Source organism: Homo sapiens, chromosome 12, assembly GCF_000001405.40.
Source record: "Homo sapiens chromosome 12, GRCh38.p14 Primary Assembly".
NCBI lineage: Eukaryota > Metazoa > Chordata > Mammalia > Primates > Hominidae > Homo > Homo sapiens.
In genome coordinates this window covers 106237780-106262127 of record NC_000012.12, presented here as the reverse complement: position 1 = coordinate 106262127, position 24348 = coordinate 106237780, and the positions used below count along the sequence as shown (strand labels likewise).

Below are 24348 nucleotides of genomic sequence, written 5' to 3'. Positions count from 1 at the left end.
GTGGCCTTTGGATGAAATGTTCTGTAAATATTTGTTAGATCCATTTGGTGTATAGTGCAGATTAAGTCCAATGTTTCTTTGTTAATTTTCTGTCCGGATGACCTGTTTGATGCTGAAAATGGGGCGTTGAAGTCTCCAGCTATTATTGTATTGAGGTCTCTCTCTCTCTCTTTAGCTCTAATAATATTTGTTTTGTATATCTGGGTGCTCCAGTGTTGGGTGCATATATAGTTACAGTTGTTATATCCTCTTGCTGAATTGACCCTTTTATCATTATATAACGAACTTCTTTGTCTGTTTTTATAGCTTTTGCCTTGAAATCTATTTTGTCTGATGTAAGTATTGCTGCTCCTGCTTTTTTTGGTTTCCACTGGCATACAATAATTTTTTCAACCCTTTATTTTCAGTCTATATGTGTCTTCATAGGTGAAGGGTGTTTCTTATAGGCAATAGATTGTTTTTTTAAATCCATTCAGCTACTGTATGTCTTTTGATTGGACAGTTTAGTCTATTTACATTCAATGCTATCATTGATAAGTAAAAACTTATTCCTGTCATTCATTTCTAGTTGTGTTGTGGTCTTTTCTTCATTCTTTCCTGTCTTCTCTTTAGTGAAGCTGATTTTATCTGGTGGTATCTTTTAATTTCTTTTTGTGTGTGTGTGTATCCATTGTATATTTTTAGATTTGAGGTTTCCATAAGGTGTGCAAAAAATATCTCATTATTTTAAACTGATGACAACTTAACACTGATTGCATAAACAAACAAGCAAAAAAAACCCTAAAAGCTCTATGCTTTAATTTTTTCTCCCCACTTTTTAACTTTTTGTTGTTTGAATTATACCTTATTGTACTATGTCTTGAAAAGTTGTAGTTATTTTTGATTGATTCATTTACTTACGATATGAATTTCCACCTCATAATTACAGTGTTGTAATATTCTTTGTTTTTCCATGACCTGACTATAACCAATGAGTTTTGTATCTTCAGATGATTTCTTTTTATTTTTTTTATTTTTTTTATTTTATTTATTTTATTTATTTTTTTTTTTTTGAGACAGAGTCTCGCTCTGTCGCCCAGGCCGGACTGCGGACTGCAGTGGCGCAATCTCGGCTCACTGCAAGCTCCGCTTCCGGGGTTCACGCCATTCTCCTGCCTCAGCCTCCCGAGTAGCTGGGACTACAGGCGCCCGCCACCGCGCCCGGCTAATTTTTTGTATTTTTAGTAGAGACGGGGTTTCACCTTGTTAGCCAGGATGGTCTCGATCTCCTGACCTCATGATCCACCCGCCTCGGCCTCCCAAAGTGCTGGGATTACAGGCGTGAGCCACCGCGCCCGCCCTCTTCAGATGATTTCTTATTGCTCATTAGCATCCTTTTCTTTCAGATTGAATAACTATTTATAGCATGTCTTGTAGGACAGGCCTGGTATTGATGAAATCCCTCAGCTTTTGTTTGTCTGGGAAACTATTTCTTCTTCATGTTTGAGGGATATTTTCACAGGATATATTATACTAGGATAAAAGTTTTTTCCTTCAGCACTTTAAATATGTCATGCCACCCTCCGGTTTCCACTGAAAAGTCTGCTGCCAGACATATTGCAACTCCATTGTATGTTATTTGTTTACTTTCTCTTGCTGATTTTAAGATCCTTTCTTTATCCTTGACCTTTGGGAGTTCGATTATTAAATGCCTTGAGGTAGTCTTATTTGGGTTAAATCTGCTTGCTGTTCTATAACCTTCTTGTACTTGAATATTGATATCTTTCTCTAGGTTGGGGAAGTTCTCGTTATTATCCCTTTGAATACACTTTCTACCCCTGTCTCTCTCTCTACTTCCTCTTTGAGGCCTATACTTCTGAGATTTGCCCCTTTGAGGCTATAGTCTAGATCTTGTTGGCATGTTTCATTCCTTTTTATTCTTTTTTCTTTTGTCTTCTCTGGCTGTATCTTTTCAAATAGGCTATCTTCAAGCTCACTAATTCTTTCTTCCACTTGATCAATTCTGCCATTAAGAGACTCTGATGCAGTCTTCAGTATGTCAATTGTATTTTTCAACTCCAAAATTTCTGTTTGAGGCTTTTTAATTATTTTAATTTCTTTGTTAAGTTTATCTTATAGGAGTCAGAATTCCTTCTCTGGTTATTTTGAATTTCTTTGAGTTTCCTCAAAACGGCTATTTTGAATTCTCTCTGTGAAAGGTTTCACACTTCTATCTTTCCAGGGTTGGCCCCTGGTGCCTAATTTAGTATATTTTGTGAGGTCAGTAATGCTTTCCTGGATTGTCTTGATGCTTGTAAATATTTGTCAGTGTGGGCCGGGTGCAGTGGCTTATGCCTGTAATCCCAGCACTTTGGGAGGCCGAGACGGGCGGATCACCTTAGGTGGGGAGTTCGAGACCAGCCTGACCAACATGCAGAAACCCCGTCTCTACTAAAAATACAAAATTAGCTGGGCATGGTGGCACATGCCAGTAATCCCAGCTATTCAGGAGGCTGAGGCGAGAATCACTTGAACCTGGGAGGTGGAGGTTGCGGTGAGCTGAGATCGTGCCATTGCACTTCAGCCTAGGCAAGAAGAGCGAAACTCTGTCTCAAAAAAAAAAAAAAAAAAGTTTGTCAGTGTGTGGGCATTGAAGAGTTAGGTATTTATTGTAGTCTTTGCAGCCTGAGCTTGTTTGTACCCATCCTTCTTGGGAAGGCTTTCCAGGTATTCAAAGGGATCTGGGTCTTGCAATCTAAGTTTTTGGTCACTGCAGCCAAATCTGCATTACGGGGCACCCCAAGCCCAGTATTACTGTAATTCTTGCAGACTCATAGAGGTACCACTTTGGTGGTCTTAGATAAGATCCAGAAGAATTCTTTGAATTACTAGTTCTCTTCCATTACTTTCTCCCAAGGAAATAGATTCTGTTTCCCTCTGTGCTGAGCTGCCTGGAGCTGGAGTAAGGGTGACACAAGCATCCCCGTGGCCACCACCACTGAGACTGTGCTGGGTCAGACCTGAAACCAGCACAGTGCCAAGGTCCCCTGGGGCTCAGACAGGTCCAGAGATGCTGTCCAGGAGCCAGAGCCTGGAGTTGGAAACCCTAGAAATCTACCTGGTGTGCTCTATTGTTTTGTCACTAAGCTGACACCAAAACCTCAAGACAAAGTCCTTCCCACTCTTCTTTCCCTTTTCCCCAGGCAGAGAAGTCTCTCCCCATGTCCACCACCACCACAGATCCATGGGGATTACTGCAGGGCACCAATGTTGTTCACTTAAGGCCCAAGGGCTCTTCAGTCAGCTTGTGGTGAATGTTGCCAGGCATGCAACTCACCCTTCAGGGCAGTGGGATCCCCTCTGGCTCAGAGTAGGTCCAGAAATGCTGTCCAAGAGCCAAGGCCTGGACTTGGGGACCCCAAGAACCTGGTTGGTGCTCTTCCCCACTATGGCTAAGCTAGTACCTAAACTACAAGACAAAGTCCCATTTATTCTTCCCTCTTCTTTTCTCAAGTAGAAGGCACCTCTTCTCATAGCCACCACAACTATGAATATGATGGGTCACTCCGGAAGCCAGCATGTCCCTGAGTCTCACCCAAGGCCCATGGTGTGTACTACTTGGTTACTGCTGCTGATTATTCAGGGTCCAAGGGATCTGTAGTCGGCAGGTGATGAATCCTGCCAGGATGAGTCCTTTCCTTCAAGGCAGCAGGTTCCCTTCTGGCCCAGAGTGTGTTATTTGGAGCTAGAGCCTGAAATGATGGCCTCATGACTCTGCCCGGTGTCCTATCCTACTGTGGCTGAGCTGGTATCCACGTTGAAAAACAAAGTCCTCTTTACTTTATCCTCTTCTCTCCTCAAGCAGAAGGAAGCTGTCTCTTTTGGAGCTGCAAGCTGTGCTGCCTGGGGTTTGGGGAGGGGTGATACAAGCACTCCTTTAGCTGCCCCAGCTGGTGTCTTACTAGGTCACGTTTCCCCAAAGTCCACTATCTCTAAGCCCAACACAGCACTAGGACTTGTCTAGGAGTTGCAGTCCTTGTGGCCTAGACTGCTTTTCAAGTTTATTTTGAACCCTACATCACTTGGGCCAATAGTCACAAAGCTTGCTGGAACTCAGATTCTGACCACTGAGATGGGTGAGTCCCCTCTGGCTGGGGCTTGTCTATATGCTCCCTCCATGGGTGTCAACTGATTTCTGCCCAGTGTTGGCAGCACTGTGTTCCAATGCAAAGTTCCCTAATTGCTGTCCTGTCCCTCCCTCAAGTGCACAGATTCTCTCTCCTCACCACGAGGGCACTGCCAGGGAATAGGGAGAGGTGGAGTCAACAATTCAAGACTGACTTTCCTACCTTCTTCAGTGCCTCTTTCAGTAATATGAAGTTAAAACCAGGTACTGTGAGTGCTCACCTTAGTTTTGGTTCCTATGAAGGTGCTGTTTTGGGTAGATAGTTGCCAGATTTGGTGTTCCTGTGGGGAAGACAATCAGTGGAGGCCTCTGTTCCACCATCTTGCTCCACCTCCTCCAGAAGCCTAGCATTCTAAGTCATGTACTGTCATATCTACCCATTCACCAGTTATGGGCTGAATTGTATACCCCCAAATTCCTTATGATGAAGCCCTCTGGTACCTAATAATGTGACTGCATTTGGAGATAGTATCATTAAAGATAGTATCAATCCATCCATCCATCCATCCATCCATCCATCCATCCATCCGTCCATCCATCCATTTAAACATCTATCCATTCATCTATCATATATTGAGTGCTTATGCAATATATCTGGGCAACAATCTAGGCAAAGTGCCTCATATTGGGATAAAAAAGGAACAGATCGGTCTCTGCCCTGAAAGTTCTAGTGTAGATGACAGTAAGTAAACAGCAGCAAACACAATTACAATACATTGTGATAAGTGCCATGACCCATCTGGGAGCTGGGGATGTACCAGGATGGGACACCTTATCCAGGTTGGGGGTAAAGGCAGGAAAAGGGTCAAGGAAACTGAGTTCCAAAGAGAATGTGGCAAATTAGGGTAATTGCAGGAAGGGTCAGTCTGGCTAAATGTATAGATAAAGGGCTAAGTTAAAATTAGGTCTTTATGGTGAACCCTAATCCAATTTGACTGTTATCCTTATGAGAAGAGGAAATTTGGACATACAGAGAGACAGCAGAGATGCATGTGCAGAGGAGAAAGACCATGTGAGAACACAGTGAGAAGGTGGAAGCCAAGGACAGAGGCCTTAGAAGCAACCATGCCTGCTGATAGATATCTCAATTTTTCACTTCTAGACTCTAGAACTGTGAGAAAATAAATTTCTGTTGTGTAAGCCACCCAGCCTGTGGTATTTTGTTATGGGAGTGCTAGCAAACTAACATATAATCCATCCATCCATCCATCCATCCATCCATCCATCCATCCATCCACATCCATCCATCCATCCATCCATCATGAGTGCCTATGCAATACATCTAGTCAACAATCTAGGCAAAGTGTTGGGATAAAAAAGGAACAGATCAGTCACTGCTCTGCAAGTTCTAGTGTGGATGACAGCAAGTAAACAGGCAATTAAAATACATTGTGGTAAGTGTCATGACCCATCTGGGAGCTGGGGATATACCAGGAAGGGACACCTTATCCAGGTTGGGGGTGAAGGTAGGAAAAGGGTCAAAGAAGCTGAGTTCCTAAGAGAATATGGCAAATTAGGGCAAGAGCACGAAAGCTCAGTCTGGCTAAATGTATAATAGGAAGGGACTAGGGGAGAAATGAGGCTAGAGAGAGAAGGATTGAGGAAGGGTTTTTTTTTCAATGTCATGTTAAGGCAGTGTTCCTCGTAATTTTTTTTCTGCCTATAGCACACCTAAGGGATGATGCATGTCCGTCAACAGCGTGGTGAGAGGGAACAGTTGCAGAGGTGAAATACCAGTGTCAGGTTGAGATACGGCCCTGCCTTCCCCTTCACAGTTTGAGATTCATGATGCTTAGTAAGAATGTGGATTTTATCTGAAGGCTGAATGATATTGGCTTAGTCACTTCATCATACTAGGCCTTCTGTTCTTATCTCTTATCTGTTCGTATGCTAGTTGAGAGTATGGCCTTTAGCATTAGCTGCCTGGATTCTACTCTGTCCCCTACCATTCTCAAGCTGGGTCACCTTGGATAAGCAGTCCACCCTCATCAGCAAACTGGATCAATACTACTGTGGTGCCTACATCAAAGATTCGCTGAGGATGAAAGGAGGTAACGTGTGTAAAGCTCCTGGCATAGTGTTTGGCATACAGTAATGATCAGTAAATGTTAAAGACCACAAAGGCATGTGTCATTGCAGCTCCCCTGGAGCTGAACGGTGTTAGTGATCAAATTCTCACTGTCATTGTAGTAATCATTGTCTTCATCATCATCGTCCTTGCCATCCCATCATCCTTCTCATATTGCCATTGTCATCAGCACAACCATCCCCACTATCACCATTGTCATCATCACCATCACCATTTCCATAATAATCACCATCATCCTCCTCATCATCATCATATCGAAGCTCTCACAGGTCATTCCTCACTGGGTTCCTTGCTTCCAGTCTTCTTCCTTGTGGTTGTCTTATGAAAAAGAAGGCCCTACCTAGACTTTTATGATGTGATATTCATAACATTTATTGGGCTCCTACTATACATCAGACATTTTTCTGGGCACAAAGGATATAGGGGTGAGCTAAATAAAATTCTCACTTGTGGAATTAGGTTAATGAGAAGTGACAGACATATCCTCTGTCTCTTCTCATTAACCTAATTCCACAAGTGAGAATTTACAATACTACAAGGATTGACATTAATTTTTTTTGACATACTACATAGTTCCTTGTAGAATTTGACATACTACAAGGAACTATGTCGTACGTCAAAGTAAAATTAATACTGGAGAGAAAAATAAAGCAGGGAAAGAAGTTTCTAGGGTTGGGCAGTTGTCATTTTTATTTGGGATGGTTAAAGAAGGCTCATCTAGAGGTGACATTTGAATTGAGGAAGGGAAGGAGGCCCCATGTGGATACCTGGTGGGGCAAAGGCCAGGAACAAAATTATAAAGGCCCCCAGGTAGCAACATGCCTGGCATGTGAGGAGCAAAAAGGAGGCTAGTGTGGCTAGATGAAAGCGGGGAGTAACAGTGGATGAGATCAGAGACACAGCAGGGGGCAGAACATGGGGACCAGGTCATTGTAAAAACTCTGGCCTTTACTCTCACTGACTTGGAAAGTCATCAGAGGGTTTTGGAAAGAGGTGTAACATGATCTGACTTATATTCTAATGGAGTCACTCTGGCTTTTGTGCTGAAAACACAAGACAGGGCCACAAGTACTTAAGCAGAGAGGCCAGTCTTTAGCTTATTTCAGTAACGCAAGCGTGAGCTGCTGGTGGCTGGAATCAATGGAATAGCTGTGGAGGTCATGAGAAATGGGAGATGCTGGATATATTTTGGAGATAAAGCCAGCAGGATTTGCTAATATATTGCACTGAATATGGAACAGGAGTGAGAGAAAGAGACAAGACAAGGATGATTCCTGAGCAGCTGAACAGATGGAACTGGCATGTGCTGGGATGTGGAAGACTGTGAGCAGATGTGGAGGAGAAAATCAATTTTATGCTCATATTATGCCTGTAAAGTAGGTACTATGGTTATCTTCCATAACAACTGGGACTCACTAAGGTGAAGTATTTTGCTCAAGGTCACGTAAGTGGCAAGAACCAAGATTTGAACTAGCTCTCCCTGATTCTACAGAATATAACCCTATAACAAAGCCAAGTTCACAGAAACTCTGGTCTTGGCTTCCTTAGACCCAGGTTCCAACCAACCTCTCAGCTGCAAGGGCTTTACCATTGACCATCAAGGGTTATACTGATGGCTCCCACTCAAACTAAACAAGGTCCCTCTTTTCTACAGGAGTGAAACTTGTGCACAGGAAGGCTTCCCTTCCTCCAGAGAGAACACTGGAGGCCACTCACCTTCCAGACCACCAAATTTAACATCACTCATGCCAGCTGGAGGAGGCCCCAGATCCCTCTGGCCAGTGAAGTTTTGGTTGGTGAGTGAAATTCGAACTCATTAACTTGAAAATGAATGAGCTTCAGTGACTGTTAAGGCACCTCGGACTGAGATGTCTGATTTCCATTCCAACTCTGGGTGCGAAGCTTTCTCCATCCTTAGCCACCCAGTGATCACTATTTACCCATTTCAGCACTGGCTGGGCCTGCTAGGATTGTAAGCAGCTAAATGGTGCCTAACAGCACGGGCTCTGGTCAGTCCACCTGGGTTCAAATCCTGGTTCTATCACTTAATAGCTGCAGGAACTAGGACAGGTTTCTTAACTGTTCTATGCTTCTCTTCTGTTTTATCATCTGTAAAACGTGGAGAAGAGTAAGTCCTTCATAGGGTTGTTGTGAAGTTTAAAAGATATAATGGGTGCACCACAATCTCAGAAATCACCACTAAAGAACTTAGTGATAACCAAACACCACCTGTTACCCAAAAACCTATGGAAATAAAAAATAAAAAATATATGCAGAGTGCTTAGTACAATGACCACACATAAGCAAGACCCAACAAAAGTTTGCTATTAATTTTAATATTATTTTATTAGGCTTTTATTTTGTGCCGGGAGCAGTTGCTCACGCCTGTAATGCCAGCACTTTGGAAGGCTGATGCAGGAGGATCACATGAGGCCAGGAGTTCAAGACCAGCCTGGCTAACATGGTGTAACCCCATCTCTATTAAAAATACAAAAAATTGAGCCGGGTGTGGTGGCACAGGCCTGTAATCTCAGCTACTCAGGAGGCTGAGGCAGGAGAATCACTTGAACCCAGAAGGCAGAGGTTGCAGTGAGCTGAGATCGTGCCATTGCACTCCAGCCTGGGTGACAGAGCGAGACCCTGTCTCCAAAAAGAAAACAAAAAACAAAAAACCCCAAAAAGACTTTATTTTGTGCTCATTGTAGTGGTCATCATTCTTGTCGAGACTTCACTGCTTTGTGTATAGCATCAAACTGTGCCCCACAGAAAGGGATACAAGTAAATAATTGTTTAGCACCCTGTAGTTTACAAAATATTTTCATGGGCATTATCAACTGATACCACCTGAGGATATGGATGTGTTAGCCAAAATTTAAAGGAGGGTGTAGCGTTAGCTCATATCATACAGTCAATTTAATGAAGTGGCATCAAAATGTAAAACCATTTCATGTTCACAATATGAACAGTAGGCCTTCCTTATCCCGTCCCCCATGCCATCTCTGGGTCTTACCCATCCCTCAAGTTCACATTAGAAGGGCAGGGATGCTACTGAGCACTTATCTTAGGACTGCAAAAACAAGTAGAAATGTGTTTATGCATTCATTTATTGATTGCGACAGAGCAAGACCATCCCTACTATCACCATTGTCATCATCACCATCACCATTTCTATCATAATCACCACCATCATCCTCCTCCTCCTCATCATGTCCAGTGTAAGCTGGAGTGTAGTGGCGTGATCTCGGCTTACTGCAACCTCCGCCTCCTGGATTCAAGCGATTCTCCTGCTTCTGCCTCCCGAGTAGCTGGAATTACAGGTGTGTGCCACCACACCCAGCTAATGTTTTGTATTTTTAGTAGAGGCGGGGTTTCTCCATGTTGGCCAGGCTGATCTCGAACTCCTGACCTCAGGTGATCCACCTCTCTCAGCGTCCCGAAGTGCTGGAATTACAGGTGTGAGCCACTGTGCTTGGTCTATTTTTAAAGTAGTATCAAAATGTGCCCACATGAAAATGTCACATACTCATTCCTCAACCAAGAGGTGCCCCAGCTGGGCCCTTCCTCTTCTGCATGGACTTACAATATCTGGAGGTAGGCAGCTCCTGAGGATGTGCACCCCTGAGGCTGGGAAAGGTGGTCCTAGCTCTCCAGAGTCAAACTATAAAGAATGGCCCCCATCCCTAACACGTACTCAATTTGCAGGGCATCCAGGCTCATGCCTTGGCCACTGGGGGCCTTGCCAACCTGGAACAGACAAGAGGCAATCAACATTAACAGAGGCTTTCTATTTAGGCATTCTAACCAACATGCAAAAAGCCAAGAGGGCTGCAGGCTTACAAAGCTTGACCTTATAATTTATGGTGCATGTGGTATGAGGGAGTTCTGAGGCATTTTTACACAAGCTGGATGAAAGGATGAGATGTCTCCAGCTCCCCCTCTTCTCCGCCCACATTCCTGACCATCCAACACACTTTAGCAAGGAAAAGGGATAGAGGAAACAAAACTAGGAGGAAAAGCAGAAGAGAAACTCCTCTAGATTCATGCTGTGCTCAGAAACTGGGGTAGGAGAATGGAAGTCTCCAGGAAGAGCTGTTGATCCCTTCCTGCTCTGGAAGATGCACTTCTATGACTGCCCACCAGCCTCCTCCTCTGGGTGTAACCGAACACCATGGTGGAGCCACACTTCAGAGAAACACACTGCTTGCTTTTAACGTTAAACACATCCTAGCCTGTGGTTTGTGAGCCACATATGGTCCTGGGAGCCCCACGAAATAATGATGAAAGAAAATCGTTGAAATCTGGACACAGAAGCTCTCTGAAGCTATACTTTTCCTCAGTGACTCTGCAAATTGTATTAGCTGTCCAATATTCACTGAGCATTGCCATATGCCCAGTATCATATGGTGTCTCTTGTCTAATCCGCATAACAGCAAGGTTGTTCTTTTTTTTTGGGTGGAGTGCAATGGTGAACAGGGCTCACTGCAGCCTTGACTTTCCAGGCCCAAGTGATCCTCTCACCTCAGCTCCCCAAGTAGCTGGGACTACAGTCACACTCCACCATGCCTGGATAATTTTTTTTTGTATTTTTTGTAGGGACAGGGTTTTGCCTTGTTGCCCAGGCTTGTTTTGAACTCTTGGGCTCAAGCAGTCCATCTGCCTCGGCCTCCCCAAGTACTGGGATTATAGGTGTGAGCCACCACACCTGGCCTAGTGAGGTAGCAATTACTCCTGTCTTATAGCTGAAGATACTGAGGTTCAGAGAGGTCACACTCCAAAGTCAGTCATGGAGCTGAATTTGAACCCAAGTCAGTCTATTCTATAGCCTGTGTCTTAACCATTGTATGTACTATCTCCCAGAGGAAAAGAATGAGAGGGAAATGCTGAAAATATTAACAGTCCCATCGTCCTACTCTCTATTCATTCATTCAGTGCTCAGTAGAGGTAAAAATTGAGAAACCGTCCATTCTCATATCTGGCCTACAGTCTGCTTTTTTTTTTTTCCTGAGACAGGGTCTTGCTCTGTTGCCCAGGCTGGAGTACAGTGGTGCCATCATAGCTCACTATAACCTTGAACTCCCAGGCTCAAGCGATCCTCCTGTCTCAGCCTCCTGAGTGCCACCACATCCAGCTAAATTTTTTTTGGTGGAGTCAGGGTCTTGCTGTTATCTAGGCTGGTCTTGAACTCCTGGCCTCAAGTGATCTTCCTGCCTTGGCCTCCCATAGCGTTGGGATTACAGGTGTGAGGCACTGTACTTGGCCTGGATCAATTTTTAAAAATTTAAATATCATTTAATTATTTTTGATAAGGATCAGATGACTATTTCTCTAAGAAACGGATTAATAATAAGACAGGTCCTTAAAGATGCACCTTACAGAAAGGGTGACCCTGAAATCTAGAGGAGTTTAGGGATACTTCTCAAGGTCACACACTTTGGTAGCACTAAAGGAGTAGGGCTCTTGCTTTCAAGGCCAGATCTTGGCAGCAAGCTGCTTTACCAGTTATCACTGCCTCTGCCCCTAACATGGAGAACTGCTTGAAGGGGGATAACCTCTTTTTGCGCGCTAGAGATTTTAACAACACAACCCGAACTCAGCTGAATAGTTTTTAAACAAGGTTCCTGTGATGAGTGTCTTCTGATTTCTTCTGCTGTCTCCCCGCGCCACAGGTCAGAGACCTGTGCCCTGTTGAACCTAGAGGCTCCTACAATAGCTCCTGGTATTTAGCTGAAGTAGGGTGTTCCTCTCTGTCTGGGGCAGATGGTTGTATTTCTAGTCCAGAACCTGCTATAATTTACTCTGTCCTCCCACACTAATAGCGATTCTTCTATCTGCCAGCTTGGCTTCTATAGCCTTCTGCAATCTGGACCCGCTCCACCCAGTTCATCTCTTTCTTCTCTACATGTAGAACACACCCTCATGGCCAACAGGTGTCCTGGGCTCACCCCATTTCCGCCACAGAAATATCCTCCCTGCTCTCCTCATATGCAAATCATTCTTCAAGGCACTGCTCAAGGTCTTTCTGCCCCCAAAGCCTGCCCATGTACAGGCCAATGGTTTGCTTTCCAAATCTCTTTACATTTATGTTCCCAATTTACCTAAGTTAGCCCTCAACAGGTTTCTGTATATATCTCCAAGTGTAGTGCAGGCTCCTTGAGGGCAGGCACACAAGTGTTCATTCATTCACTGGAGGCTTTTAGCAACACCTTATAAAGCGAGAAAGAAGGAGAAATATAAACTATGGTTGCTTCCAGTCCTCAGGGAGGGGAGACATACCTGGCACACAGTGGGCCCTCAACAAAGGTTTGCTATATTGAACTAACATATATGCCTCTCGTTGCAATTACTTGCTAAGTCCCATGAGAGGTATCAAATGGTGTTATAGGGAAAGCATCATCAAAGAGGTGGCATTTGAACCCTATAGGCTTTAAGGGCAGGGCATGGTTTTGTCTTTGTTTACAGAACTGGGAGGAGGTTACAGACAGAAGAAACAGCATTCCTACTACACACAGTGCCAGGTGCACACAGTGCCAGGCACACATCACTCACCAGAAACTGGGGAAAGCAGTGGAATTGAGTGAGTTCTGTCCCTGCCCCGGCACCAATTAGACTGAGTGAGTGGGCAAGTTGCTTAACTTCCCTGGGCCCCCGTTTCCTTCCCATTCTGAAGTGATTAAGCTGCACAGACTTCAGAAAGAAGCAGACTGAGTGAGGTTCGAATGATGACTATATGTGACCTTGAGCCAATCCGAAGCCGGCTCGCTCAGTCTCAATTTCCTTCCTATAAAATGGGTAAAATAATTTCTACCTCACAGGGCTTTTGTGAGATTTCGAGAACATATGTGAGTCGCTAACCACACAGCCTGGCAATACCAGATTTCCTTTTACAAAAGTAGGGGTGACAACGCTGATCTGCCTCTTTCTGTGTGGCTGCTGCTGCCTCCGCAGCACCCATCCCAGAGGCTGTCAGGAGTAGGGGCCGTGGACAAACTTCATGACCCCGAAAGAGAAAACAGAGCTGAAGGGGCTTCGGGGGGAAAAAGTAAAGAGCTGGCCACAGCAGGCTAACTTGGCTAACGGGGACACTTGGTGAATGCGTCCCCTTGAACAGACTTACCACAGTCGAGAATCTTTGCTAACTCGCATCAACCATGCCTCCCAAGCTGGCTGGATTTTGGACAGCCTTTTTTGTCTCCGCCTTCAAACCCAAGGCAAAGGACAAGGCCCAACCCCATGGCGGGCTGGGAGAGTGAAAGCAGGGGGAGTCCCCCAATTCCCAGCGGAAAGGAAGGGCGATCTGTTCCCACCCGCTGACTCCCACTCCCGGGGCCAGGGCTCCTTGGGCGCCCCCCTTCATTTCTCTCCTCTCCGCACAGGTCGGGAAGGGAGGGGGTCGCGCTTGGCCCGCGGCGCAGGTTCACCCCGGCTTTCGTCCCTCCGACCCCGCCTGGCCGCCCATCCCCGACCCCCGTGGACCCTGCTCGGCCGCCCCGGCTGGGGTCGATCTGGCCCTCCGCCCCCAGCCTGCGTGGAACCCGCCGGGCCGCCAGCCCCACCTCGGCCGCGTCCCCTCCCCTCCGCTCCGCTCTTCTCCCCTCCCCTCGCGGCCACCTCGGTGCCCACCCCGGCCTCCGCAGACCCCGCCGGGACCCCGCCCCGCGCCCAGCCACCCCCGCGCCGGCTTCCCGGCCCCCGTAGACCCCGCCCGGCCCTCCCTCTCCGGGGTCGTGGCGGCGGGGAGGAGGGGCCGCCGGGCCGGCGTGCGTGGCAAGCTCTCCCGGCTCGGCTCGCTCGGCCTCCCTTACCGGGAGGCGGGGTCGGCGCCGCGGCGGCGGAGGCAGGCCCCCTCCTCCCGCCTCCTCGGCCCGGCCTCCTTCCCCGGCCGCGCGTCCTCTCGCCGCTCCGACGCCAGCAGCGCCCGCGTGCCGCTCGCCCAGTCCCGGGGGAGCCCCTGCAAGTTTCCCGGGCCGCGCGCCGCGCTCGCTCGCCTCCCAGCCCGCGGCCCGAGCCGCCGCCGCGCCCGCCATGCCCTCGGCCAAACAAAGGGGCTCCAAGGGCGGCCACGGCGCCGCGAGCCCCTCGGAGAAGGGTGCCCACCCGTCGGGCGGCGCGGATGACGTGGCGAAGAAGCCGCCGCCGGCGCCGCAGCAGCCGCCGCCGCCGCCCGCGCCGCACCCGCAGCAGCACCCGCAGCAGCACCCGCAGAACCAGGCGCACGGCAAGGGCGGCCACCGCGGCGGCGGCGGCGGCGGCGGCAAGTCCTCCTCCTCCTCCTCCGCCTCCGCCGCCGCTGCCGCCGCCGCCGCCTCGTCCTCGGCGTCCTGCTCGCGCAGGCTCGGCAGGGCGCTCAACTTTCTCTTCTACCTCGCCCTGGTGGCGGCGGCCGCTTTCTCGGGCTGGTGCGTCCACCACGTCCTGGAGGAGGTCCAGCAGGTCCGGCGCAGCCACCAGGACTTCTCCCGGCAGAGGGAGGAGCTGGGCCAGGGCTTGCAGGGCGTCGAGCAGAAGGTGGGTACCCCCGGCCCCGCAACTGTCCCCATCGACTGCGGCCTCCGGACCCACGGCCGGGCTCCTTCGTGCTTCCCGACCGGCCCCTAGCGCTGCCTGCCCAGGCCCGGAGGCGGGAGCCGGCCGCTCCTCCTTGGCGGGCCCTGGCCTAGACATCCCACTCCACGCGGCCCCCTAGTTCCGAGGCAGTCCCCAGACCCCCTTTGTTAATGGCTGCGGAGGAATCGGCCCCGAGGGATGGGCCGCCGCGAGGATGCCCAGGCCCGCCTGGCAGGGTGGGCCAAGGGCCTGTCACAGGGCATTAGCGGTGACCTGTAAGGAAGCCGGCAGGCTCCGGGGAGCCCATTCTTTCTGCATTAGGAACCGCTGAATGGGCAGAGCTGTCTGAAAAGGAGGTTGGAAGGGAAGCCAGCGCATCCCTGGAAGCCTCAGGCAAGGCCCCACCTCAGCTCTGCCTGTGGGAGACATCCGAGCGGGGTTTTTAATAGACCCGGAGCTGGCATTCTTACTCATTTGCAGGTCCAAATGAAATACCATCTATCTTTAGGTCCCTTGTCCTGTATTGGACCAGCCTGCCCAGGTGGGCCTTTGACGTAGTCCTACTTCAGCTTTTTTGGGTTTTCTTTTGAGAGGGAGTCTGGCTCTGTCGCCCAGGCTGGAGTGCAGTGGTACGATCTCAGCTCACTGCAACCTCTGCCTCCCAGGTTCCAGCGATTCTCCTGCCTCAGCCTCCTGAGTAGCTGGGATTACAGACATGTGCCACCATACCCAGCTAATTTTTTATTAGTAGTAGAGACAAAGTTTCACCGTATTGGCCAGGCTGGTCTCGAACTTCTGACCTCAAGTGATCCGCCTGCCTCGGCCTCCCAAAGTGCTGGGATTACAGGCGTGAGCCACTGCGCCCGGCCCTACTTCCGCTTTAGGGGAAGAGGAGGGCCAAAAATACTAGATCATACTGGTGAATAATACTTCTAGCCACATTTATATGGTGTTTAGAATGCTTACTCACTCACATATTATCTAATTCTTATAACTACCCTGGGAGGGAGGACTAACAGTTTTGATTTCATTTCCCAGAGCAGAACATTGAGGTTTAGACAGAGGAATGAGTTGACAAAGTCCCCAGCTGGTGAGTGACAGACACACGAGAATGTCTAGGCCACTGCCCTGTTCGTCAAGGGTCCACAGGGGTCCATTTCAGGTATGGATGGACCCAACTCTCAAGGCGAAGGTGCTTAGCTTCCACCCTTCTGTGGTTTTTCCATACCAAGTACAGCCCCTTTGATCTTATTCGCCCTCCACTATGTCATTGCTCAATGAAAGTTGGTTGCAAGACTGAAACAAAAAATCCCGCCACTTCTGATCCCGGAGCCACTGCCTCCTTTTCCCAGCATGCTGTCTGTCCTGCCAAGTTGCTCTCTGCTTTTGTTGAGTGTGCAGGACCAGGAATTTCCTCTTAAGACTGGCAGAGCACGGCCGGGCGTGGTGGCTCACGCCTGTAATCCCGGCACTGTAGGAGGCCGAGGCGGGCGGATCACCTGAGGTCAGAAGTTTGAGAGCAGCCTGGCCAACATGGTGAAACCCTGTGTCTACTAAAAATACAAAAATTAGCGGGGTGTGGTGGCACATGCCTGTAGTCCCAGCTACTCAGGAGGTTGAGGCAGGAGAATTGCTTGAACCCGGGAGGTGGAGGTTGCAGTGAGCGGAAATCCTGCCAGTGCACCCCAGCCGGGGCAACAGAGTGAGACTCCGTCTCAAAAAAAAAAAAAAAAAAAAAAAAGACTGGCAGAGCAACTGGAATGAGTCAGCCTGCTAAACGCTGCAGGCCAAGGGAGGTGACTTTTCTAAGGGAATTAAGTAGGCAGTGCTGCTTTGCCTATCCTGAATGTCAAACCATTCTTAAAAAATAGACATACTGCTGGAGTATAATGACTAGCCTCTGTTTCTTCTCTTTCATCCTCCTACTTACTAGTCAATCATAATATTTATTAAAGTCTGACAGTTGCATGGCTCTGTGTAGGCTTTGTGGGAGGGTATGAAGGAGCAAAAGACACGAATCACTTGTGCAGCGCATAAGGAGGTGTCAGTTGAGGGTAACTCCTGTGAAAGTTCAGAAGAGGGAGGGTGTGGAATTTCGCCTGTATCCCGGTGGCCAGGGTAGTGCCAGCCATCTAGCTGGTGATCGATAAATGTTGAGAGAAGGACTGTGATGAACACCGTGGCAGGGGCACTATTTTGAGCATGTTTGAGAGAGAGGAGGTGGCTACCCTGCCAATGGCAGAGTCACATGTAGGAAATTGTGAGAGAGGGTGGGTTGGAAGTTGAGGCCAAAATAGGGAAGGTCTTGAATCCAGGTTAATTCTCTGTGCTTCTCCCTGCCCCTCACTTAGTCCCTTCTTTTTGCTTCTCACCCCTTCTCCATCACAGCTATGTATATAGATCACTTTCTTCTTTGGGGCTCAGTTTTCCCACCCACACAATGAGAAGAGGGCTCCATCCAGACTTTTAAGAATCCTCATGGCTCTAAAATAATTGAAATAGTGACTTCTCTGTTTTTTATTTCATATTTTATATTTCGTAGAGACAGGGTCTCACTCTGTCACCAGGCTGGAGCGTAGTGGTGTGATCATAGCTCACTGCAGCCTTGAACTCCTGGCCTCAAGTGTTCCTCTTGCCTCAGCCTCACAAGTAGCTGGGACCACAGGCATGCACAAGCACGTCCAGCTATTTATTTATTTTTAAAATTTTTGGTAGAGACAGGGTCTTGCTGTGTTGCTCAGGCTGGTCTCAAACTCCTGGGCTCAAGCAGTCCTCCTGCCTTGGCCTCTCAAAGTGCTGGGATTACAGATGTGAGCCACTGCGCCTGGCTGACCACTTTTCTTTTAATTTAGTAGTGTAATCAAACTATAATTTAATGTGTCATATTTATGGTGCACTTATTACGTGCCAGGCACTATGCAAAGCATTTGAAAATGCATCATCTGCTGACTCTCACAACAACCCCAAGAGGTAAGTACTATTATCAGCCCTCTTTGACAGATGAGAAAAGTGAGAGGCTAAGTAACTGAGCGGTGATATAGCTAGTTAGTGGCTGGGCTAGGATCCAAACTGTTGTCTAACTCCTGGAACACTATTAACCACTCCACTATTTAGCCTAGTACATAGTAGGTGCCCAATAAATGTTCCATTGACTTGAGACTCAGAACATGGCCAGAACAGTGTTAGATTTGCCATAGAATGTGGCCACTCTGTCTGTATCTTTGGGGTGGCCAGTAAATAAATTATTTTGCATTGAGGAACCAGTTGTGTTTGGTTCTCTGACAGCCTAAGTTTGAACCCTTTTATAACTCTTGGTTACTTGTTGGGGGGTGGAGTTTGGTTCATAGCAGGGAAGTATACTTACAGTATTCATAATTACTGTTCACTATGGGTCAGCCATGCTATTAAATGCTTTATAGCCATGATTTCTGTTCTCCCAGCCACCCTCTGAGGCAGGTATCATTTAGTAGTACCATTTTGCAGATGGGGCAGCTGAGGACTGGCTGTGTAACTCATTCAAGGTCACACACAGACCATAAGTTGTGTAGCTGGAGTTGGGTGCCCACCTGTCTCTTGTTCTCCAGATGTTCTTGTTATTGGAGAATGGCTCAAATCTTCTGAATGACTGTAGCACAGGCAGAGAGGCAGGCCTGTCCTTACCCAGAGGATTCAGCAGGCACAAGTGGGTCCTGGGCTTCAGAAAGTGTTGGCAGTTCATCTCTAGGCCCTCTGAAGAGCCTGTGTTGCCCTGGCAGATCCAGCGTGATATAAAGCAATGGTAGGAGTAGGCTTAGGCCTGGTAGGGACAGTTTAATGAGACTAGGACCTATTTGTGGAAGAGTGAGCTCCCTGGTCATATTTCTTTGTTTTCTTGTCTAGATTCTCTGGCTAAGGAGTCAGGGCTTCAGGAGTTGGCAGTCTCTCTTCCAGGTACTCAGGGCACTTTGAAGTCAGTGCCCCTGCCTGAGCATATCACATACTGGTTGAGAGCTCAGGTTCTGAAATCAAGCATTTTGGGATTTTAACGTTTGAGCCTACCACTTACCAGTTTCCTCATTAGTAAAATGGAGATCACTGGGAGATACCAACTCATGAGATTATGGTGAGGGTGTAATGAGATGATGTGTCTGAAGTCCTTTGTATAGTTATTGGTCCATCACAAGTGTCCGGTTGAATGTCAACCACTGCTAACACCCAGTCCCCCCACCCTAGGGTGTAACCTTGAGGGCAAGGATCCTAGCCATTATTTCATCTCTGGCATCTTGCCTGTTGCCTACCACTTAGTGGGCATCCCACATTTGTTGGGGGAACAGATATTTCCAATGCATATTGATGATAATGAATTATTTGCACATAAAGATGCACAACTCATAGTCCCCTCAGTAGGGGAACACCATGTTCTTTTTTATAGTGTTGGGGGTTGGATATAATTTCTGTTCTAGTCTCCTTCCTAACCATTTGTGAAGAGCCAGCGCAGGTCAGGGCTGACAGGGATCAGAGGAGACATGGACCAGCTCATCAGGCTTTGCTTGAATTCCCTCATTATGTGATTCCATCAAAAAACACTGGATGAAAGCCTGCCATGTTGAAGGTACTGTGCTCACCTGCTCACACCTCTGTTCTGAGTGCTATGCTTAGAACAGGCAGACAGTGTGATTTAATAACGTAGTTTCAGAGATGGGCTCTCTCCAGTACCTTCACAGAGTGTCCTTTAAGACTCAGGTTGTATTTGGTTGGGCAGGGAAATTGTCTAGTATTCTGGAGCCCCTGAGAACCTTATTCTAATCTGCCTTAAAACAGACTGATGGAGCTAGACAGCACTTTAGAGACCTATTTGCTATTGGATGAGGAGCCTGGGACTCGGAAAGTGAATGTGACTCTTCATGCTTACAGAGCTGGCTACTGGTGGGGCTGGCACGAGAGCTGAGGGATGTTGTTCACATCCCACTTCAGTTTATCCTCCTGCCTTTTGGCATGGGTTGAGGATATTTCTAGGAATCTGCAGACTTACCAGGTGCTTCAGAAGAAATGGGAAATAATCACGATGATAATAGCTGCCATGTATTGAGTGTTCACTATGTGCTGGGCACAGTTTAAGTACTTGATATATTATTAATTCACTTAATCTTCATACAGACAATCATATGAGTCCGGTACTGTTTTCCCATCCTTCAGCTGAGGAAACCAAGGTACAGATAGGCTAAATAACTTCCCCAAGATCACACTGCTGGAAAGTGTTAAAGTTATGATTTGAACCTAGGCAGTCTGGCTCCAGAGACCGTGCTGTTTTATTTTTTAACTTTTTATCATGGCAGTGTTCAAGTGTAAACAAAAAAAGAATATAATGAACCTCAGTTTCAAGAATTACTGATGTTTTGCCATTCTTTTTTCATTCCATCGGCACTCTTCCCCTCTGCCACTTTTTTTTTTTGGCTGGAGTTAGAAGTCTGACTGTGAACCACTCTCTTGCCCTATGCGTGCCCAGCCTGGTCTCCCTTCTTCTCCAGATGCTGTTGGTGTTGCATGGCCATAGCACAGGCAGAGAGGTTGTCCTGTCCTGAAGCCAGAAAATTTACTAGGCAGAAGTGGGTCCAGGGCTTCAGAAAATGTTGGCAGTTCAGCTTTAGGGCCTCTAAAGAGCCTGTGTTGTCCTGGCAGATCCAGGGGATAGTGAATTAGGAATTAGTTTTAAAATGAGGCCAGGCGCGGTGGCTCACGCCTGTAATCCCAGCACTTTGGGAGGCCGAGGCGGGCGGATCACGAGGTCAGGAGATCGAGACCATCCCGGCTAAAACGGTGAAACCCCGTCTCTACTAAAAAATACAAAAAATTAGCCGGGCGTAGTGGCGGGCGCCTGTAGTCCCAGCTACTCGGGAGGCTGAGGCAGGAGAATGGCGTGAACCCGGGAGGCGGAGCTTGCAGTGAGCCGAGATCCCGCCACTGCACTCCAGCCTGGGCGACAGAGCGAGACTCCGTCTCAAAAAAAAAAAAAAAAAAAGAATCCCTGGCTGACATTTTTAGTTTACCCAAAGCATTTTAGGATTTATTTCCAACTGATAAGCGTTCCTTTCCTTTCCTTCCCTTTGTACTCCTTTCCCTGTTTGTTTTAACAGAACACAGCATATCATACCTAACAAAGATTACAGTATTACTTGAATGTCATCTGACACCCAGTCCAGAATCACAGTTCTTGATTATTTCAAAAATGGCTTTAAAAATTTTATTTATTTTTTAATTTTTTTGTTGTTTTAGAGACAGAACCTCACTCTGTTGCCCAGGCTCAAGGCACTCCTGGGCTCAAGGCAACCTGTCACCTTAGCTTCCCAAGTAGTTGGGACTTCAGGTGGACACCACCAGGCCCAGCTCAAAGATGTCTTTTTAACAGCTGGTTTGTTCAAATCAGGATCTATAGAAGATCCACACATTATATTTGATTGAAAAATTTCCTAAATTTCTTTCAGTCTGTAAGTTTCCTGCTTTTCCTTCTTTTAAAATGCCACTTAGTTGTTGAAGATCCTGGTTCTTTGTCCTGTAGAATTTTCCACATTGTGGGTTTGGCTGATTGCATCCTCACGACATGTCTCTTCTGCATGATGGGGACTTGATAGAGTCAGGTTCTTGTTTTCTGTCTTTTCCCTTTTTTTTTCTTTTTTTTTTTTTTGCAACAAAGCATTAAAGGTGGCACCATGTGCCACCTTTAATGGTTATTAATCCATTTATTTCCAGGTTATTAATCATTGTGCTGTGCAGCCTGATTAGTCAGGCCTGGGTTATAAATCATCCCTGGAGCACTAGGAGGGGACCCTAGGATTGGTCCTTAAAACCATATGGACTATATGTGGAAGGATGTTTCTCCAAAGGAAAATTGTGGTGACATTCTGGAAAAAAACAGGACCTGGAGGCTGGGCAGACAAAAAAAGTTGTATCATGTGAAACTCATCAGCTCTTCTCAGCAATTAACGTCTGGATTTTGATTACAGGTGCAGTCTTTGCAAGCCACATTTGGAACTTTTGAGTCCATCTTGAGAAGCTCCCAACATAAACAAGACCTCACAGAGAAAGCTGTGAAGCAAGGGGAGAGTGAGGTCAGCCGGATCAGCGAAGTGCTGCAGAAACTCCAGAATGAGATTCTCAAAGACCTCTCGGATGGGATCCATGTGGTGAAGGACGCCCGGGAGCGGGACTTCACGTCCCTGGAGAACACGGTGGAGGAGCGGCTGACGGAGCTCACCAAATCCATCAACGACAACATCGCCATCTTCACAGAAGTCCAGAAGAGGAGCCAGAAGGAGATCAATGACATGAAGGCAAAGGTTGCCTCCCTGGAAGAATCTGAGGGGAACAAGCAGGATTTGAAAGCCTTAAAGGAAGCTGTGAAGGAGATACAGACCTCAGCCAAGTCCAGAGAGTGGGACATGGAGGCCCTGAGAAGTACCCTTCAGACTATGGAGTCTGACATCTACACCGAGGTCCGCGAGCTGGTGAGCCTCAAGCAGGAGCAGCAGGCTTTCAAGGAGGCGGCCGACACGGAGCGGCTCGCCCTGCAGGCCCTCACGGAGAAGCTTCTCAGGTCTGAGGAGTCCGTCTCCCGCCTCCCGGAGGAGATCCGGAGACTGGAGGAAGAGCTCCGCCAGCTGAAGTCCGATTCCCACGGGCCGAAGGAGGACGGAGGCTTCAGACACTCGGAAGCCTTTGAGGCACTCCAGCAAAAGAGTCAGGGACTGGACTCCAGGCTCCAGCACGTGGAGGATGGGGTGCTCTCCATGCAGGTGGCTTCTGCGCGCCAGACCGAGAGCCTGGAGTCCCTCCTGTCCAAGAGCCAGGAGCACGAGCAGCGCCTGGCCGCCCTGCAGGGGCGCCTGGAAGGCCTCGGGTCCTCAGAGGCAGACCAGGATGGCCTGGCCAGCACGGTGAGGAGCCTGGGCGAGACCCAGCTGGTGCTCTACGGTGACGTGGAGGAGCTGAAGAGGAGTGTGGGCGAGCTCCCCAGCACCGTGGAATCACTCCAGAAGGTGCAGGAGCAGGTGCACACGCTGCTCAGTCAGGACCAAGCCCAGGCCGCCCGTCTGCCTCCTCAGGACTTCCTGGACAGACTTTCTTCTCTAGACAACCTGAAAGCCTCAGTCAGCCAAGTGGAGGCGGACTTGAAAATGCTCAGGACTGCTGTGGACAGTTTGGTTGCATACTCGGTCAAAATAGAAACCAACGAGAACAATCTGGAATCAGCCAAGGGTTTACTAGATGACCTGAGGAATGATCTGGATAGGTTGTTTGTGAAAGTGGAGAAGATTCACGAAAAGGTCTAAATGAATTGCGTGTGCAGGGCGCGGATTTAAAGTCCAATTTCTCATGACCAAAAAATGTGTGGTTTTTTCCCATGTGTCCCCTACCCCCCAATTTCTTGTCCCCTCTTAAAGAGCAGTTGTCACCACCTGAACACCAAGGCATTGTATTTTCATGCCCAGTTAACTTATTTACAATATTTAAGTTCTCTGCTTCTGCATTTGGTTGGTTTCCTGAAGCGCAGCCCCTGTGAATAACAGGTGGCTTTTCATGGATGTCTCTAGTCAGAGAAAAATGATAAAGGCTTAAATTGAGGATTAACAGAAGCAGATTAACCTCAGAAATCCTGTCTGGCTGGCAGATTTCAAGTAAAAAAAAAAAAAAGGTGGGTTGGGGGGACCCTTTTCTTTCTAGTTGTCTTTAAGGAAAATTAATTTTACTTTTTTTTTTGTTCTGGCCGAAATTTTTATGAGATATCTCTCACTTGTCTTCCACTTTGAACCGGTTAAAGCTCATAGCTGTCAGCTCTGAATGAGGAGGGGAGAAGCCCCTGGGTCTTTCTTTGAAAGGAATCCGCTGCTTGAGGGCTGCCTCCCTCATGGTGTGCGTGTCGTTTCTCTTCCTGACGCATCTTGTGATATCAGAGGTAACTATGCAAAGCATCCAGGCGGTTCTGAATGTGAAGCACTACACCCAGCAGAGTCCCGGTGCCCTCTGTCCCCACTGCCGGCCCATGTTCTCTCTCCGGAGGTCACCAAGGAATGCACAGGTTTCGACTACCAGAAAGGGGAGTCCTTGGGTTCTTTCAAAAAATTCGTGAGGAGAGCTGTCTACAGTGGAATAGGGGGTCTCCCTGGGGAATGCAGGCCAAGTCCTTTTATTTTAACATGATGTCCATGAAGAGGTTTGCCGTCTGGGCAGCCCTGTCGGCAAGGAGCGTGCATACTGCGTTTGTGTAATTGTTTGCTGTATCTCCCTTCCCTCTGAGCTGTATTGTTCTTTAATGGCTGTCTTGCCCTTCCAAAAAAAATTGAAAAAAAAAAAAAAAAAAAAACCCGAAAAGTAAAAAAAAAAAAAAAAAGTTTTGTTTAGTTTACTGTGAAATGAACTGTATGGCTTATTTACAGTATTTTTAATTCTTAATAAACACTTGAGCTTTGTTATGACTTTTCCAGAGTGGTTACATTCTGAGAATTTCGTAATTATGATGTGTTTTATTAGCACATGGTATAAACGATTAGCAAATAGGTAAGTTTACTATTTTAAG

The 24348-nt window shown here is 47.5% G+C and overlaps 1 protein-coding gene and 1 long non-coding RNA gene across 3 annotated transcripts, besides 3 other annotated features; one reads left to right on the top strand and one right to left on the bottom strand.

Annotated features, from left to right (window-relative positions):
- Positions 1–9340: 9340 nt before the first annotated feature.
- LOC124903008 (uncharacterized) lies at positions 9341–13856 on the bottom strand. 2 transcript variants are annotated; one of them, XR_007063443.1, is made up of 2 exons: positions 13369–13856; positions 9341–12457 (listed from the first exon to the last, which is right to left on the bottom strand). It is a non-coding gene; the product is annotated as an uncharacterized LOC124903008 (long non-coding RNA). The 2 variants fall into 2 exon arrangements; XR_007063444.1 differs by lacking the exon at positions 13369–13856 and adding an exon at positions 12801–12863.
- Positions 13533–13872: a silencer, noted in NCBI's record as "silent region_4815". NCBI's record gives its function as "represses an Ori minimal core promoter by ATAC-STARR-seq in GM12878 lymphoblastoid cells {active_cell/tissue: GM12878}" and the evidence as "EXISTENCE:reporter gene assay evidence [ECO:0000049][PMID:35858748]".
- Positions 13903–14212: a silencer, noted in NCBI's record as "silent region_4814". NCBI's record gives its function as "represses an Ori minimal core promoter by ATAC-STARR-seq in GM12878 lymphoblastoid cells {active_cell/tissue: GM12878}" and the evidence as "EXISTENCE:reporter gene assay evidence [ECO:0000049][PMID:35858748]".
- Positions 14108–24247, top strand: CKAP4 (cytoskeleton associated protein 4). The gene is made up of 2 exons (NM_006825.4): positions 14108–14759; positions 21779–24247. Exons 1-2 carry the CDS (start codon positions 14277–14279, stop codon positions 23102–23104), a joined length of 1809 nt encoding a protein of 602 aa, NP_006816.2. The 5' UTR covers positions 14108–14276; the 3' UTR covers positions 23105–24247.
- Positions 14873–14962: a silencer, noted in NCBI's record as "silent region_4813". NCBI's record gives its function as "represses an Ori minimal core promoter by ATAC-STARR-seq in GM12878 lymphoblastoid cells {active_cell/tissue: GM12878}" and the evidence as "EXISTENCE:reporter gene assay evidence [ECO:0000049][PMID:35858748]".
- Positions 24248–24348: the final 101 nt, after the last annotated feature.